Here is a 16,661-nt window from a genome sequence, read left to right as displayed (position 1 = left end):
TGGAGTCTTGCTCTATCGCCCATGCTGCAGTGCAGTGGCATGACCTTGGCTCACTGCAACCTCCGCCTCCCGGGTTCAAGCGTTTCTCCTGCCTCAGCCTCCCGAGTAGGTGGGACTACAGGCACACACCACCATGTCCAGCTAATTTTTTTGTATTTTTAGTAGAGACACGGTTTCGCCACATTGGCCAGGTTGCTCTCAAACACCTGACCTCAGGTGACCCGCCCACCTCAGCCTCCCAAAGTGCTGGGATTACAGGCGTGAGCCGCCGTGCCCGGCCTGTTTTGATATACTTTTAATTTCAAGAAATACCAACATTAATCAAAGGCAATAGAAAGTCCAGGAGAATTTCTTAATTCTTGACATTCTATAGATATCTAAAGAACAGCTTGGACGTAAAAATTTAGGAGGTAAATGATCAAGTTAGGGTTCTATTGAAATAATTAAATTTCCATACTCAGATTCAACCATATTGACCATGTCTTTTTCTGTTTGTTTTTTACAATTCAGGTATCTGCCCAAACTGGAACTTATGCTGTAGACATTTCTTTGTGGTTTATCTAAAAACCAAAGGTGAGATAATTTATGAATTCATTTGCCTTTTAATATATATTTTATAATGAGAAAGAATTGTTTTTGAAAAAATTTAAGGCAATATCAAATATCTTTTCCTCTGAGTGTTTTAATAGGAAAGTTATAAAACTACATATAGAGTATGCTTACTTTTAAGCATGTTTATAAGACATTTGAAATAAATGAAACTTGTTCTAGTGATAAAATACTTTTGAGTGAATTTTTTCTATATCTTTAATACTCAAAGACGAAATTCATACTACTGTTCTCTGATATACTTGAGAATATATTGGCATTATAATCTAATATTTTTGAAGACAAGTCTTCCATTAGTTAAATCATAGATTAAAACAACTGCTATTTTAATGGGCCATTATTAAGAGCTTTCTACCACTCTACTCTCTTGGACTTGATGACTTTCTGTAGTTCCCTGTTTGGGAGCCTCTGTAATAAGGATATAGGTTAATAGTTGCCTTCTATAGAAAGCTTCCCTTTTACAGAAAGCTTCTATAGATAGCATTCCACTCTAAAGGTAGGATCATAGCCTTTTCCCGTTTCTTACCTGTCTTGGCTCAAGTCCTCTTCTTGTTAAAATTTTTCCAAATACATCGTTGTAAGTCTCTCCACCTTGAGTCTGACTGCTCTGTCAGCCATTTTTATCATTGTCAACAGATTATTTTTTTCTTTAAAAAAATGTCAGCCTGTCCGTCTACTACTCTGAGTCCTTCAGTATCTACATTCCTTAAGGATTATTTTACAAACTCATTTACAGAGCAATAGTGGTCTAGATATGATATGAACACTAACATCATGTATTCATATTATATCTTTACTGAGAAATAATTTCCATGCCATAAATTCCACCCATTTAAAGTGTAAAATTCAATAGTTTTTATTATATTTACAGAGATGTGCAACCATCACCACAGTCTAATTTTGGAATATTTTCATCACTCATTTTTTTCTTTGAGATGGAGTCTCTTTCGCCCAAGCTGGAGTGCGGTGGCAACATCTTGGTTCACCGCAACCTCTGCCTCCCGAGTTCAAGCAGTTCTCCTACCTCAGCCTCCCCAGTAGCTGGGATTACAGGTGTGTGCCACCATGCCTGGCTAATTTTTGTATTTTTAATAGAGACAGGGTTTCACCATGTTGTCCAGGCTGGTCTTGACCTCCTAACCTCAAGTGATCCTCCCACCTCGGCCTCCCAAAGTGCTGGGATTACAGGTGTGAGCCACCTGCCTGGCCTTTCATCACTCTTAAAAGTACTCATTAGTAGTCTCTACTCATTCCTCCCTCCCCTCAGCTATTAATTTATTTTCTGCCTATTGTGGACATTTTATGTAAATAGAGTTGCACAATATGTTGTCTTCTGTGACTAATTTCTTTCATTTAACATAAAGTTTTTAAGCTTCATCCATGTTGAAGCATGGATGAACCTTGATTCCTTTTTATGACTGAATAATATTCCATAGTGTCAGGAGCTTAGCTGGGGACACAGAGCTGAGTTACTTTAATCACTTACCGAATTAGGATAAGCAAGAAGTTAAAGCTGAGAAAGTGCAGGCTCCCTCCTGTCAAGTGGATCAACACAGAGGTGGGGATTTTCTCAATGCTGAGGGAGCCCCCAGCAAAAGGTTCCTGCTGTTTTATAGATCTGGGGTGGGTTGGAGGAAAAGGTGCAAAGGCTAGGAGTGGAGGAAGGTACTGAGTCAGAGTGGAGGAAAGTGTTTTTAGTGTTTTCCCTCTGTTGAGGAGGCCTCTCCATAGTTGCCTAAGGAAAGGCCTCAGTTAAAGGCCACAGAGACTTCTGAATGAAGGTACCTGGGCTACTAATGTAGATACGGTAAAGAGCATGGCCATTTAGGAATACCTGAGTCTTGACTGCAGCTTGCTTTAGAGATGTCAGTGCACCAGGTATGCACCAAATCTGGTGTGGGGAGGGCAGTTTTCTCCTGTGAAGCCTGCCAGGTAAAGACTGTAATTGTTTATGATCAAGCTAAAAAAAGTGGTCTGGCATGGTGGTTCATGCCTGTAATCCCAGCACTTTGGGAGGCTGAGGCAGGTGGATCACCTGAGGTAAGGAGTTCGAGACCAGCCCGGCCAACATGGTGAAACCCTGTCTTCACTAAAACTACAAAATTTAGCTGGGTGTGGTGGTGAGCATCTGTAATCCCAGCTACTTGGGAGGCTGAGGCAGGAGAATCGCTTGAACCCAGGAGGCGGAGGTTGCAGTGAGCCAAGATCACACTATTGCACTCCAGCCTGGGTTACAGAGTAAGACTCCGTCTAAAAAAATAAATAAATAAATAAAATAAAAAGTCACACTTTTTTTTCTTTTTTTTCATCCACAATATCTATATGCCATATTTCATTTATCCATTTATCAGTTGTTGGACATTTGGGTTGTTTCCACTTTTTTGGCTATTATGAAAATTCTGCTGTGAACACTTATTTGTGTATAAGTTTTTGTGTGGACATAGGGTTTCATGTCTCTTGGATATATACCTAACAGTAGAATGGCTAGGTCATTTAATAACTCCGTGTTTAACATTTTGTGGAACTGCCAAACTGTTTTCTAAAAAGACGGTACCTTTTTACATTCCTACTAGCAATGAATGAGGGTTTTGATTTCTCCATATCCTTGCCAATACTTAACATTGTCTGGGTTTGTTTTGTTTTGTTTAATATAGCCACTCAGTGGATGTGAAGTGGTATATGGTGGTTTTGATTTGTATTTCCCTAGTGACTTATTATGAACTTTTTAAATATGCTTATTGGCCATTTGAACATTTTCTTTTTCTTTTTTTTTTAGTTTTTAATTGACAATAATAATTGTACATATTCATAGGTACATAGTGATGTTTTAGTACATATATGTTAGTGATCAGATAGGGTTATTAACATATCCATCATCTCAGACATTTATCATTTCTTTGTGTTGGGAATGTTCAATATCCTCTTCCTAGTTATTTGAAACTATGTATTACTGTTAACTTTAGATTTTCTTCCTAGCTATTTGAAACTACATATTACTGTTAACTATGGTCATCTTACTGTGGTATAGAACACTAGAATGTATTCCTCATATCTATTGGTAATTTTTTATTCTTTAACAAATCTCTCCCTGTCCCTCCCTCCCTACTACCAATGAGTGAGAACATGCAGTGTTTATTTAACTTTTTGTTTCTGGCTTATTTTACTTAGCATAACGTCCCAGTCTCATCCATGTTGCTGCAAATGACAGGATTTCTTTTTTTTTTTCTTCATGACTAGATAGCATTCTCTGGTATATATATATTCCAGATTTTCTTCATCCATTCATCCTTTGTTGGCCATCTAGGTTGATTTCATATCTTGGCTATTGTCAGTAGTGCTACAGTAAACACGGAGGTGCAAATGTCTCTTTGATATAATGATAGTCTTGTCTTTGGATAGATTCACTGTAGTGAAATTGCTGGATCATATGATATTCTATTTGTAGTTTTTTGAGGAACCTCCTTGCTGTTCTCCATAGTGGTTGTACTAGTTTACATTACCATCAGCAGTATATAAGAGTTCCTTTTTCTCTGCATTTTCACCAGTATTTGTTATTTTTTGTCTTTTGATAACAGCTGCCATCCTAATTGGGGTGAGATGATACCTCAATGTGGTTTTTATTTGCATCTCCTTGATTAACAATGTTGAGCATTTTTTCATTCTTTTTTTGATTGTTTTTGGTTTTTCTGAGACAGGGTCTGGCTCTGTACCTACGCTGTAGTGCAGTGGCATGATTATAGTTCACTGCAGCCTCAAACTCCTGGGCTCAAGCAATCCTCCTGCCTCAGCCTCCTAAGTAGACAGGACTACAGGTATGTACCACGATGGCTAATTTTTTTAAATTTTTTGCGGAGATGGAGTCTAGTTATGTTGCCCAGGCTGGTATATGTCTTCTTTTGAAAAATGTTCATTTATATCATTTGCCAATTTTTAAATCAGATTTTTTTTGTTTGTTTGCTTTTGAATATGTTTGTCCTTGTATATTCTGGATATTAATCTCCTGTGGGGTGAGTAGTTTGCAAATATTTTCTCCCATTCTACAGGCTATCTTTTCACTCTGTTGATTGTGTCATTGGCTGTACAGAAGTTAATTTGATGTAATCCCGTTTGTTTCTTTTGCTTTAGTTGCCTGCGCTTTTCAGGTCTTATCATAAAATCTTTTCCCAGACCAGTGTCCTGGAGCATTTTCCCCTATGTCTTCTTCTAGTGGTTTTATTGTTTCAGGTCTTTGATCCCTTTGTGAGTTGATTTTTGTATAGGGTGAGAGGTAGGGGCTTTAAAGACATTTTTATTTTCATCCTTTGCCATTTTAAAATTAGGTTATTTGTATATATATGTTTATTTATATTACATATAATATAAATGTATATTTACATTAAATAGAAATACAGTTGTGCCTTGGTATATTCAGGGAATTGGTTTCAGGACCCTTGTGTATACCAAAATTCACACATAGTCAAGTCCTGCATTTGGTCCTACTAACCCACCTATAAAGAAGAGTCAGTCCTCTGTATAGGTGAGTGTCACATCCCATGAATGCTGTCTTTTTTTATCCATGTTTGGTTGAAAAAAATGCATATAAGTGGACCTACACAGTTCAAACCTATGTTGTCCAAGGATCAACTTATATGTGTATATATATTGGCTGGATACAAATCTCTTATGAGAAATGATTTACAAATATTTTCTCCTATTCTGTGGGTCTTTTCACTTCTTGATATTGTCCTTTGAAGCACAAAAGTATTTATTTACTTATTTATTTTTTTGGTTGCTTTTGGTGTTGTATCTAAGAAACAATTGTCTAATTCAAGGTCCTGGGGAATACTCATGTTTTCTTCTAGGAGTTTTATTGTTTCACCTCTTATTTTTATGTCTGTGATGCATTCTCACTTAATTTTTATAAATGGTGTAATGTAGGGGTTCAACTTCATTCATTTGTATGTAGATATCCAGTTGTCTCTGACTATCGGATTATCTTGGCACCCTTAAAGAAAACAAATTGCCTATAAATGTAGGGGTTTATTTCTGGACTTTCAATTCTGTTCCATTGATTTGTCTATCCTTATGTCAGTACCACATTGTCCTGATTGCTGTAGTTGTATAATAAAGTTTTGAAATTGGGCAGTGTAAGTTCTTCCAACTTTATTCAAGATTGTTTTGGCTCTTCTGGATTGCTTATATTACCATATGAATTTTTGGATTAGCTTGTCAATTTTTACAAAAAAATCCAGCTAGATTTTGATTGTGTTGAATCTGAGGCAGGAATCTTTAAATCAGTTTGGGGACTTTACAGTCAGTCATCCAATCTGTAAACACTGAATGTTTTTCCATTTATTTAGGTCTTTAATTTCTTTCAGTGTTTTATAGTTTTCAGTGTATGTCTTATAATTCTTTTGTTAAATTTATTCCTAAGTACTTTATTTTGTTAATAGTATTCTAAGTGAAATTTTTTTTCTAATTTCATTTTTGGATTATTCATTGCTAGTATATAGAAATATAATGATTTTTGTATCACACAACCTTGCTGAACTTATTTGTTAATTGTAATAGTTGTTTATAGATTACTTAGGGCTTTTTAATATGTAAGATCATGTCATCGTGTCATAGTGATAGTTTTACCTCTTTTCTGATCTAGATCCCTTTCATGTCTCTTAACTGCTCTGGCTGAAACCGTTTTTTTTTTTTTTGAGACAAGGTCTTACTCTGTTGCCCAGGCTGGAGTGTAGTGGTGTGAACATGGCTCACTGCAGCCTTGACTTCCTGGGTTCAGGTGATCCTCCTGCCTCTGCCCCTCAAGTAGCTGGGACTACAGGCAGGCGCCACCATACCCAGCTTATTTTTATATATTTTTTGAAGAGATGGGGTTTCGCCATGTTGCTCAGGCTGGTCACAAACTCCTGGGCTCAAGTGATCCTCCCGCCTTAGCCTCCCAAAGTGCTGGGATTATACATGTGAGCCACTGTGCTCAGCCCTTGTCTCGTTTCTGATCTTAGGGTGAAAACATTCAGTCTTTCAGGATCAAGTAAGATGTTAACTATGGGTATTTCATAACTGCCCATTATCAGGTTTAGGAAGTTCTCTTTTAGTCATAGTTTGTTGAATGTTTTTGTCAGAAAGTATATGAGATAACGCTTATTGAGATCTTTCTGTATATGCCAGACCCTATGCTAAGTGGTTTATATTTAGCATTTCATGTAATCTTCACAGTAGTCCTGTGAGGTAAAGACTGTTATTTTATCCTCAGATAGAATAGATACAGTCAGATTGTTTATTTCACAACTTGTGTGTTCAGTCATTATCCATTAAAATTTCTGTACAAACCATACTGATTTATATGTTACTTTGTACATGCTAGTTTCCTCCTCCTAAAGTGCTCTCTCGCTTCCCCATATAAAGTTGATTGCTAAGCTATCACTGCACTTTGTACTTTTTCACTATGTTGTGATTGTTTGTGTATGTTTCTCTCATTTTAGAAACTATGCTTCTTGAAGTCAGGGACTTTGTCATTTTCATTTTTAAATCCCCCAATGCTCAGTGGAGAGCCGGGAGAGAGAAATATCACAGAAGCAAAGAGATTAGAGTGTTTCGAAAAGGGTGGCAGTGTTCATTAGTGTCAGATGCTACAGAGAAAGTTCAAATAAAATAAAGTTTACAGCATGACTTTTGGTTTGGTCTTTTAGTGACCTTAGTAAGATTGGTTTTTTGTTTTTAGTAGCAGTGGAGACAGAGGACAGATTCTAGTGTGTTTAGCAGTGAATGGGAGATGAAGAAGAGACTATCAAAGAGTATAGACTACTCTCATGAGAAGTTTAACTGTGAACAGAAGGAATGAGTTTAGGGTGCTTGATAGAGGGGAACATAGGGTACTTTTTAATATAGGAGAGGCTTGAACATGCATATATACAGAGGTAGGGGAAAAAGGAAACAGGTAAGAGCAAAATTGTGGAAGTAGAGAGAGAGAGGAGAATAATAGAACAGGCTCCTTGCAGAAATGGCAGATTGCATGTAGAACACATGATAGAACATAAGATTTGCCGGGAATGGCTTCTTTCTTCTGAGGGAAGGAAGTGCTCATGGATGCAACTAGTGACAAATTTGTGGATGTGAATTAGGAAATATAGGGAGTTTTCATTTCCTCTGAAGCAGAGGACAAGGTCCTTGGCTTGGCTATGTGGGAAAAGGCAACAGGACTGAGATACGGGATTTGAGGGGAGTGGTAAAGGTTTGGAATAACTACTGTGGGTCATGGAAGAGTTTGCTTATTAGAAATAGAAAAAGTTTTCGAGGGCCTCTGTCTCTTCTCTGTAATTAAAAAAATAGAAAAGGTATGTGGTCAGAAATTTAGATAGTATAAAATGATTCATAGATAGTGCAAATGTACAAAATTAAATCTTTCACCTTAGATCCTCTGTCTCTATTTTCAAAAGAAACTAACATTAGCACTTTATTTACTTTTAAATTATTTTTGCAAACATACATATGCATCAATATATATGGAGTTTATTTTGATCTGTGAGAATTTACTGTTCTACTTTTTGCTTCTTACTTTTTTTAAGACAGGGTCTTGGCTCATGCCTGTAATTCCAGCACTTTGGGAGGCTGAGGTGGGCAGATCACTTGATGTCAGGCTTTTGAGACCAGCTTTGGCCAACATGGTGAAACCCCATCTCTATTAAAAATACAAAAATTAGCCAGTTGTAATGGCACATGCCTGTAGTCTCAGCTACTTGGGAGGCTGAGGCACGAGAGTCGCTTGCACCCCGGAGGCGGAGGTTGCAGTGAGCCAAGATTGCACCACTGCATTCCAGACTGGGTAACAGAGTAAGACTGTCTCATTTAAAAAAAGAAAACAAAACAAAAACAGTGTCTTACTCTGTCACTCAGGCTGAAGAGCAATGGCATGATCACAGCTCACTGCAGCTTCGTACTCCTCGTCTCACATGATCCTCCCACTTCACCTCCCAAGTAACTGGGACTACAGGCATGTGCCACCATGCGCTGCTGATGTATGTTTTTTTCTTTTTTAGAGAGTGGGTCCTCTTACGTTGTCAAGGCTGATCTTGAACTCCTGGGCTCAGGTAATCCTTCCACCTCAGCCTCCCAAAGTGCTGGGATTATAGGCGTGAGCCACTGGACCTAGCCTACTTTTTGCTTCTTAAACTTACTTCTGTATCTTGGAGATTTTTCCATATATGTAGATCTACTTCATTCGTGTTTATAGCCACAGGATATTTTGTGTGTGGTTATAGTATAATTTATGTAACCAGCATTTAGATGAATTCTATCTTTACTCTTGTAAAAGTCATGTTGAATAAATAAATTCCATCTTTTAAAAAATACAAAATCATTATAATGCCTTAATTCTGTGCCTTAATTTTGGATTTCTATATATGCACACCTTGAGCAAACTATAATATGTATAAAAACTGGGTTATTGTTGAAACGTAAAGACAACTTAAATATTTGAAAGTGATCATGCTCAATTTATTCCTGGGATTAAGAATAAGAATCTTATTTTCAGGTGTTTGCAATTTTTAATATTGCTGCAGGAAACATTACTATCCATGACTCTTGTCAATCTCTTATGCGTATGCAAGATATTCTATTGAGTATACACCTATGAATGTAATTGCTGGGTCATAGGGTAATGAATGTTAAACTTAAAGTTATAATACGAAGTGTATTTCCAAAGGGCTTATGCAATTTTATTCTCCTACCATTGATGTATGAGAAATCCTGTTGTTTTACAGCCTCTCTAATACTTGTTTTTTTTCAGACTTTTAAATTTTGCCAGTTGAATGATCTAAAGTAGTATCTATTGTGATCTTTTAAGAAAAACTTTTAAAAGTTGAGGTATAAATTTCAATTTTATGATAAAATACTCAGCTCTTAAATATATAGTTGAGTGAGATTTGATGAATGCATATACTCATGTAGCTACTCTGCTGTAAAAATTCAAAACATTTTATTACCCCTTAAGTTCCTTCAGACTTCTTCCTTGACATTCTTATCCCTCACCAGAGGGAACCACTGTTCTGAATTTTTATCACTGAGTAATGCACGTTTGGGGCCAGGTCGTGTGCACATGGGCACTGGAATACAAGAGAAGCAAAATAGAACTTTAGTAGTTCTTTTTCTCGTTTGTTATCCCACAGCTTTGCTGGACTGCCTCTTGTCTCAGGCCTAAGCCACCATTCCACACACAGGGGTCCTAGTCAACCCAGGGGTTTTTCTGAGTTCTCTCCATTTTTCCAGGGCTGTAACTTTTCCAGGGCTGATATTCTGGGAGGGGGTCAGCAGTTTTTCTATTATAATTCCGATTCTACAGGAATTGGAATCGAGGTAAACTTTTTCTCAGCCTTCTTAGACCTGATTTACGTAATTACAGGCAACTTTAATCTGGACCCCCCAAAATGGATGAGTTCAAGACTCCTTGGTCATGAGTAAGCCTTCTTCCATGCCAGGTCTGTAGCCCTTCATAGAGGGCCATATAGAGGTGTGAGCTGGCTGCAGCAAAGGGTCCTACAGAATCTTGTTGATTTTTCAGTATTGCTTCTCTGAATTTGAACTTGAACTGAACTAGGGATGGCTTTTTGAGTAGGCGGGGCCAAAATGTGTTGTGACTTGCGCAATTATAAAAGGGTCTCTCTGACTTAAAGTCGCTCCTCTTCTGCTAAGTGTTTACTTTAAATTCTAATCTGAACAGTCATTCTTGCCCAAAATGGCCCATGAATTTTTAAGTCTTTTATTGCATCTTTCATGTAAATTTGTATTTTACTTATAATAAGTATGTATAATAGTATTAAAATGTTTTAAATTACTTATATCAAGGAAACTTGCTGATCCAGGAGATCATATTGTATTTATTCCATTGTTTTGCTTACTGTCTGTCAATCGTATCTCTCCACCTCCTGCAAGAAATCAATCCACTACACCATGCTACTTTCCGTTATAAATCCCTGTGTTGTACTTATTTTCTTTCTTTCTAGGTAGTGTGCTTCCAGAGAAGAGGCAGGTAGTGTTTCTTATTTATTTTCACTTGCCTGCCAGATTTGCCACAGAGTTAAGTGGTTTTTTTTTTTTTTATTGAGATGGAGTCTCGCTCTGTCGCCCAGGCTGGAGTGCAGTGGCGCTATCTTGGCTCACTGCAAGCTCCGCCTCCCAGGTTCACGCCATTCTCCTGCCTCAGCCTCCCGAGTAGCTGGGACTACAGGTGCCCACCACCACACCCGGCTAATTTTTTGTATTTTTAGTAGAGACAGGGTTTCACCGTGTTAGCCAGGATGGCCTTGATCTCCTGACCTCGTGATCCTCCACCATCGGCCTCCCAAAGTGCTGGGATTACAGGCATGAACCACCGCGCCTGGCCCTACTAAGTGTTCTAAAACTGTTAAATTAATGGACAAAAACGTACTTAGTATTCATAACAAGAGACAACACTTTCTAGGCAGAGAGAAAACTATGTATTCATAACCACCATGAGTATAAGTCCTGTTTTTTGGCATGGTTGGAATAAATGATATGTGGGGACAGTTTGCAGGGAAAGGCCAGATCACAAAGTACCTACCTGTAAGCTGTATCAAAGGGTTTTGATTGGGAGCTCTTGAAGGATTCTCACCAGGAGATTAACATGGCTAATATTTTATTTTAAGAAGATGGTTTCAAGAGTAGTATGAAAGATATTTTGGAATGGAGAGACCACTTAGAAGGCTATATATAGTCCAGATAGGAGATAACTTGAAGAGGGGCAGATGCCAGAAAGCTTTAGCAGGTGGAATTCATAGAAATTGGTGACTAATTAAATATTGGTGTTGGGTGAGGAGAAGGAAGTGTAGAAATCAGAGATGACTCTCAAGTTGGGCAATTTAATGGGTGTGGCACTATTTGTTTCCTTTCCAGTGTGTATTCAGGTATAGAAGGAACTTTTGGAGTGGAAGATAGGATTTTGTAATATTTAGTTTGATGTTTCTCTGAGATAGTTGAGTGGAGATGTACAGATCTGTCTGCTGTTCTTAGAGGGAGGTGGAGGCTTGAAAGGGAGAGAGAGTTTTTGAGGTTAATAGATTTTAGAGAGTGATTGAAGAAGGAATTGCCCGGGATTGAGGACAAAATCCTCAGGGACATTTAGATTTAGTGGACAAGTGCAGAAAAAGGAACTGGGAAGAAGATCATGAAGAAGAAATCAGGAGAGAAATGTAACAAAGGATTTCACAGTAACACCTTTGGCTTTCGTCTCTACCTTGAGATGAGATTTTTCTTTTCTGCATCCTATGTTTGATCTTTGTCCTCAGACCTTTTCTTACTTTGAGCATTCTCTGCTGGGAGACATTGTGGATGAGAAATAGTTTTATTTTTGGACCCAGCAATTGCTGACTTCTTTGTATTTCCCCTAAATTCTGCTGGAAAAGTACTTTCTTCTTTAGGTCATCTCTTTTTTTACCTTATATTATACATATAAAAGAAACCAGTTGACAGTTTGGACATTCTGCTTTGAAATTACCTTAGGTAGAAGTAGTAGTTCATTACCAACATTTTCTGTTTTTTTACCTTACTGCAGGCAACAGTTTTGCTAAGTTTTCTGCCACTTCATAACAAGGTCTTTCTGAAAACATTTAACTCTCCTTTAATTCCTTTTCAATAGTTTCTACCAGGCTCTTCAAGCCAGGGTCCAGCTTCGGTCCACCACCCAGTCTTGAAACCAGTGTCGCATCTTTTAGGTTTTTGTTATGTCAGCATCCCAGTTTCACATACCAAATTCTGTCTGGCAACGTTGCTGTATAGCAGCCATCCCAAACTTAGTCCCAGAACCTGCATGGCTTTTCTCGACATAACCTTGGAAGTCACTCAGTGTCACTTCTACCACAGTCTGTTGGTAACAAGCAAGTTAAATGCCAGCCTGGATTTAGGGAGTTAACTTTTTCCAAGTGTCTTGTTTAGCATACACGATCGATACTTGGAATGCCTTTGCCACAGAATAGCCGAGGAGTTTCTTTTTCACGGTTATTTGGGGTTGATATTGAAAAGCAGTGCATGTGTTTGCTGCTTCCATGCTTGCAGCTGGATGGAAATTGGCCTCAGAGGGTTCATGGTTTTCTTTGCTATTAGCCAACAGATGCTTGCCAGAGTGTTTTACTCACTGAGTATTTAATGTGAGGGTAATGCATCTCTGTAGCTAATGAGAAGAGCAGTACAATACATTAGCTCATTTGTGTATAGCAAATATGTGCCTTTAGTCCACACATTGATCCTTCACTAAATGTCTTTTTTTGTTTTTTTTAACAAAGCTGTTATGAACACCTGTTTGGCACATCTATCTTCAAATTGCTTTGACTTTCTGAGAAGTTGATCCTGACTTTTGTATGTCTGTCTTATAGGGAAAATATTTTTTGTCTGTTAAATAATTATTTCAAATCTTCTTGAAACATTAAATTTTTAAAAATTTCAGGTTAATACTCTATATCATAAACAACCTTAGGTTTCTAGGCAGAAATATTCAGTTATTCATGAGTATGGTATGAAGTTGCTAATTCTCAATTTGTAGTTTTATATATATTAAAAAATGACATATTTCTAAAGTATATATATTTTAAATTTAAAATGTATGTATTTTTAAATTTTGGCAAAATGTCCAGGCTCTCTCCATAGCCCCCATTTCCTCTCAACAGCTGTCCCTCATCTCCCCTTCAGGCCTAGTGGTGCGTGTATCTGAATGAGGACCTGTCTTGGAAGTGGACTCAGGGCCATTTGAGCAGAGTTCTGGGGTTTCAGGTAGATAGAAAGTGATTTCTGGAGATAGATCGAGTAAGGCACTTCGATTTGGCCCTCTGCACTGCTCACTTCCTGGGGGAGAGGTATGGCTAGGAGGACCAAATCCTACTGCCTTGATCTAAGGATAGTAGTGATTTTAATAATTTTTTGAGACAGGGTTTGCTCTGTCACCCAGGCTGGAGGCTGCAGTGCAGTGGTGATCATAATTCACTGCAGGCTAAAGCAATCCTTACACCTCAATCTCCTGAGTAGCTGGAACCACAGGCATGTATCACCATGCCTGGCCAATTTTTAAATTTTTGGAGAGATGGGGTCTCCTTATGTCACCCAGGCTGGTCTTGAACTCCTGGGCTCAAGCTATACTCCCGCCTTGGCCTCCCAAATTGCTGGTATTATAGGCATGAGCCACCACACCTGGCTGATTTTAATAATCTTATAATAGGTCTACCAGACTTCATTACCTTTAGACTTTATTCTTTCTGGTCTGTCCTTTTCTTGTATGCCCGGAAATAATTGTCTAAAACTCAAACTGTTACCACACCCGTGTTCAAAACTTTTCAGTGCTCCACATTTTCATCAAGATAAAGTCTTAACATGGCCTGTTGGAGAACCTCTGTGCCCTATTCTCGTTAACGGTGGAGGGTGTCCAGGTTCTTGGCACCTTGAACAAAGAATTGGACAAAACGCACAAACAAAGCAAGGAAGGAATGAAGGGATTTATTGAAAATGAACGTACATGCCACAGTGTGGGAGTGGGCCTGAGCATACGGGCTCAAAGGCCCTGTTAACGGAGTTTTTCATGAGTTTAAATACCCTTTACTTGGGGTACGCCCTATGTAAATGAAGAGGATGAGGTAAAGTTACAAAGTCATTTACGGCATATACCCTATGGAGAGGATATTTCCTATTATAGCTGAAGTGTAAATTGGCTTTATGTTCCCTGCCTCCAGACCATATTTTCCTGCCTCATTCTGATCATACTTACTTTTTCATTCTTACCTATTACCGAGCTCTATTGTCTTTCCAAGCAAGTACTCTTTTCTGCCCTCCCAACTTTGCACAGGCTGTGGGTCTGTCACATCCTCTCTCATGAACAACCTCTAGTATATCTACCAAACAAACTTATACTGACCCTTTAACACTCAGTTAAATATTAGGTAGTCTGACAAGCCTTTTTTCTTCACCTCCCCAGGAAGAATTAAGTCCTTCCCTTTGTGTATTTCCATAGTGGTTTGTATACATGTTGTTATGGCACTTGTCTCATTATGTAATGTTTGCATGTCTGTAAGCAAAGCCTTCTGCCTCTGAAGGCAGGGGCTGATTTGATTCAGCATGGTATTTCTCTAATACCAATAGTGCCTAGTACACAATAGTGCTTAATAGATGTGTATTGAATGAAGAGTGTAATTAATGGAGTGCTTTACATGTGAATTGCTCTAAATAGAGGGCCATGTTTGTAGTAAATGCCTGCGTATCCAAGGTGATTGAGAAATGGAGTGCTCCAGTAATTGATTATGTTTCTTAACAGCCAATTACAAATTATCAATTTTAGATAATTTGAATAAAAAACAAAATAGGTTATACAGAATTGATCTGTCTTTATTAATCCATAAGGTGCTTCAGCATGATCATTCTGATTTCTGTGGCTTGTTTAGAGCTATGGCTGAGGAAGCTGTAGGGAACTGAGCTGTAGGGGGATCTGTAGTGATGCTATGTCACAAGCTGGGCCTTGTTTTTTTTTTTTTTTTACTTGAATCTCTAACACACATATACTTACTATTTTGCCTATCTAATTATAAATTTAACACTAAGGAGACTCACAATTGTATTATCATGTTTTTTCAAATGTAGCTTAAAAAATTCTTAGAAGACAGACAAGCAACATACCTTAAGATATATACACTATCTTAATTCAGTGGAAAGCTTGCTACATTCAGGCTGTTCCCTATTCAGTGATAGTCCTTGCTGAGCACAAATGAAGTCTTGTGAACTGAGCTAAGTAGTTAATTTGATGATACTCTCTGGCCATGACTATTTCAAGAGTGCTGGATTCCCACCCAAATTATATATTGATTCTTCTAATTCATATGAAATTAGTGTGAGTGGTTACTGTTAATTTGTGTATTGATTTATTGTTCTTTTGTGTTCTCACCTACCCAACAACAGTGTTGCCAGTTAGTAGTTGCAAAACTCAGAGATTACTTTTGTGCATGCATTTTCACATCTTTCGAAGTGGCTTTGAACAGAGACCTATTTGGGGGTATGCTCTTATTATGTTTGCACAAATGATCTGAAAACTATCATGGTGGCTGAGCCCTGACTTCCTACATTGCTGTTCTATGTCTTCTTCTTAAACCTAGAAATCTTCCTATAATGCTTGATCCTTTTTAAAGGAAGAATTTGGAATATGGAGCAGATGTATATTTTCTTCGTGACACTCAGAAACATGTATTGTAAATGTGTCTGTTTTTTAGATACCATATTGTTCAGTTGGCTCCTCTCCACTTGAATCCTTTTCTTTTAATTAGTTTTCCAGCCTGGCTGTCCCCTCAGCTGCAAAACAATGCAGTATTTGTAACCTAATTATTTGTGAAAGTGAATCATCTCAACTTAAGTCTAAGAATGATTGACCTACTTATAGAAGGGTTAGCTTGAAAATCCTACGTGAAGAAAGGACAATGTAAAGGATTGATTAAGTAATTTTGAAGTACGTGAATATTAGAGTCATTAATGATAGAAACATGGATTCAGTATCATACTCAAGCATATATTCAGTGACTCCGTAACCCACCTATCTGGTTTAAATAATCTATGAACAAACAGAATAAAAGTAAGTCTTGCTACATTATATTAAGCCAATATCAATTGAGCTTTGGGAAATAGGCCTAAAAATGTGTCTTTGGCAATTTAATTTGCTCCTATTATGAACATTTTTATGTTAAACTGATTGACTCTCTTAAATACAACATGGAAACATTTATGTCTTTGTAGTGTGACTTTAAAAAATAATTATTGACTGAGGCCGGGCGCGGTGGCTCACGCCTGTAATCCCAGCACTTTGGGAGGCCGAGGCGGGCAGATCGTAAGGTCAGAAGATCGAGACCATCCTGGGTAACATGGTGAAACCCCGTCTCTACTAAAAATACAAAAAATTAGCCAGGCATGGTGACAGGTGCCTGTAGTCCCAGCTACTCGGGAGGCTGAGGCAGGAGAATGGCGTGAACCCAGGAGGTGGAGGTTGCAGTGAGCCGAGATCACACCACTGCACTCTAGCCTGGGCGACA

At 38.1% G+C, this 16,661-nt stretch overlaps 1 protein-coding gene across 33 annotated transcripts in view; it reads left to right on the top strand.

The window, feature by feature from the left end:
* Positions 1 to 16,661, top strand: part of PEAK1 (pseudopodium enriched atypical kinase 1) — a 320,261-nt gene that overhangs the window by 55,179 nt on the left and 248,421 nt on the right. For 24 of the 33 annotated variants that reach the window (XM_047433077.1, XM_047433057.1, XM_047433073.1 and 21 more), the window contains exon 2: positions 511 to 573. The exons of 4 other annotated variants lie outside the window; for them this stretch is intronic. The gene's annotated coding sequence lies outside the window, so the exon portion shown is untranslated. Of the gene's footprint in view, positions 1 to 510; positions 574 to 4,304; positions 4,422 to 8,636; positions 8,688 to 16,661 lie in introns of all 33 variants that reach the window. 5 more of the 33 variants (XM_047433074.1, XM_047433070.1, XM_047433058.1 and 2 more) reach the window with 2 other exon arrangements.

This window comes from Homo sapiens, chromosome 15, assembly GCF_000001405.40.
Source record: "Homo sapiens chromosome 15, GRCh38.p14 Primary Assembly".
NCBI classification, from domain to species: domain Eukaryota; kingdom Metazoa; phylum Chordata; class Mammalia; order Primates; family Hominidae; genus Homo; species Homo sapiens.
Note: the sequence above shows the minus strand (reverse complement) of the source record. Positions and strands in the feature narration are given on the sequence as shown.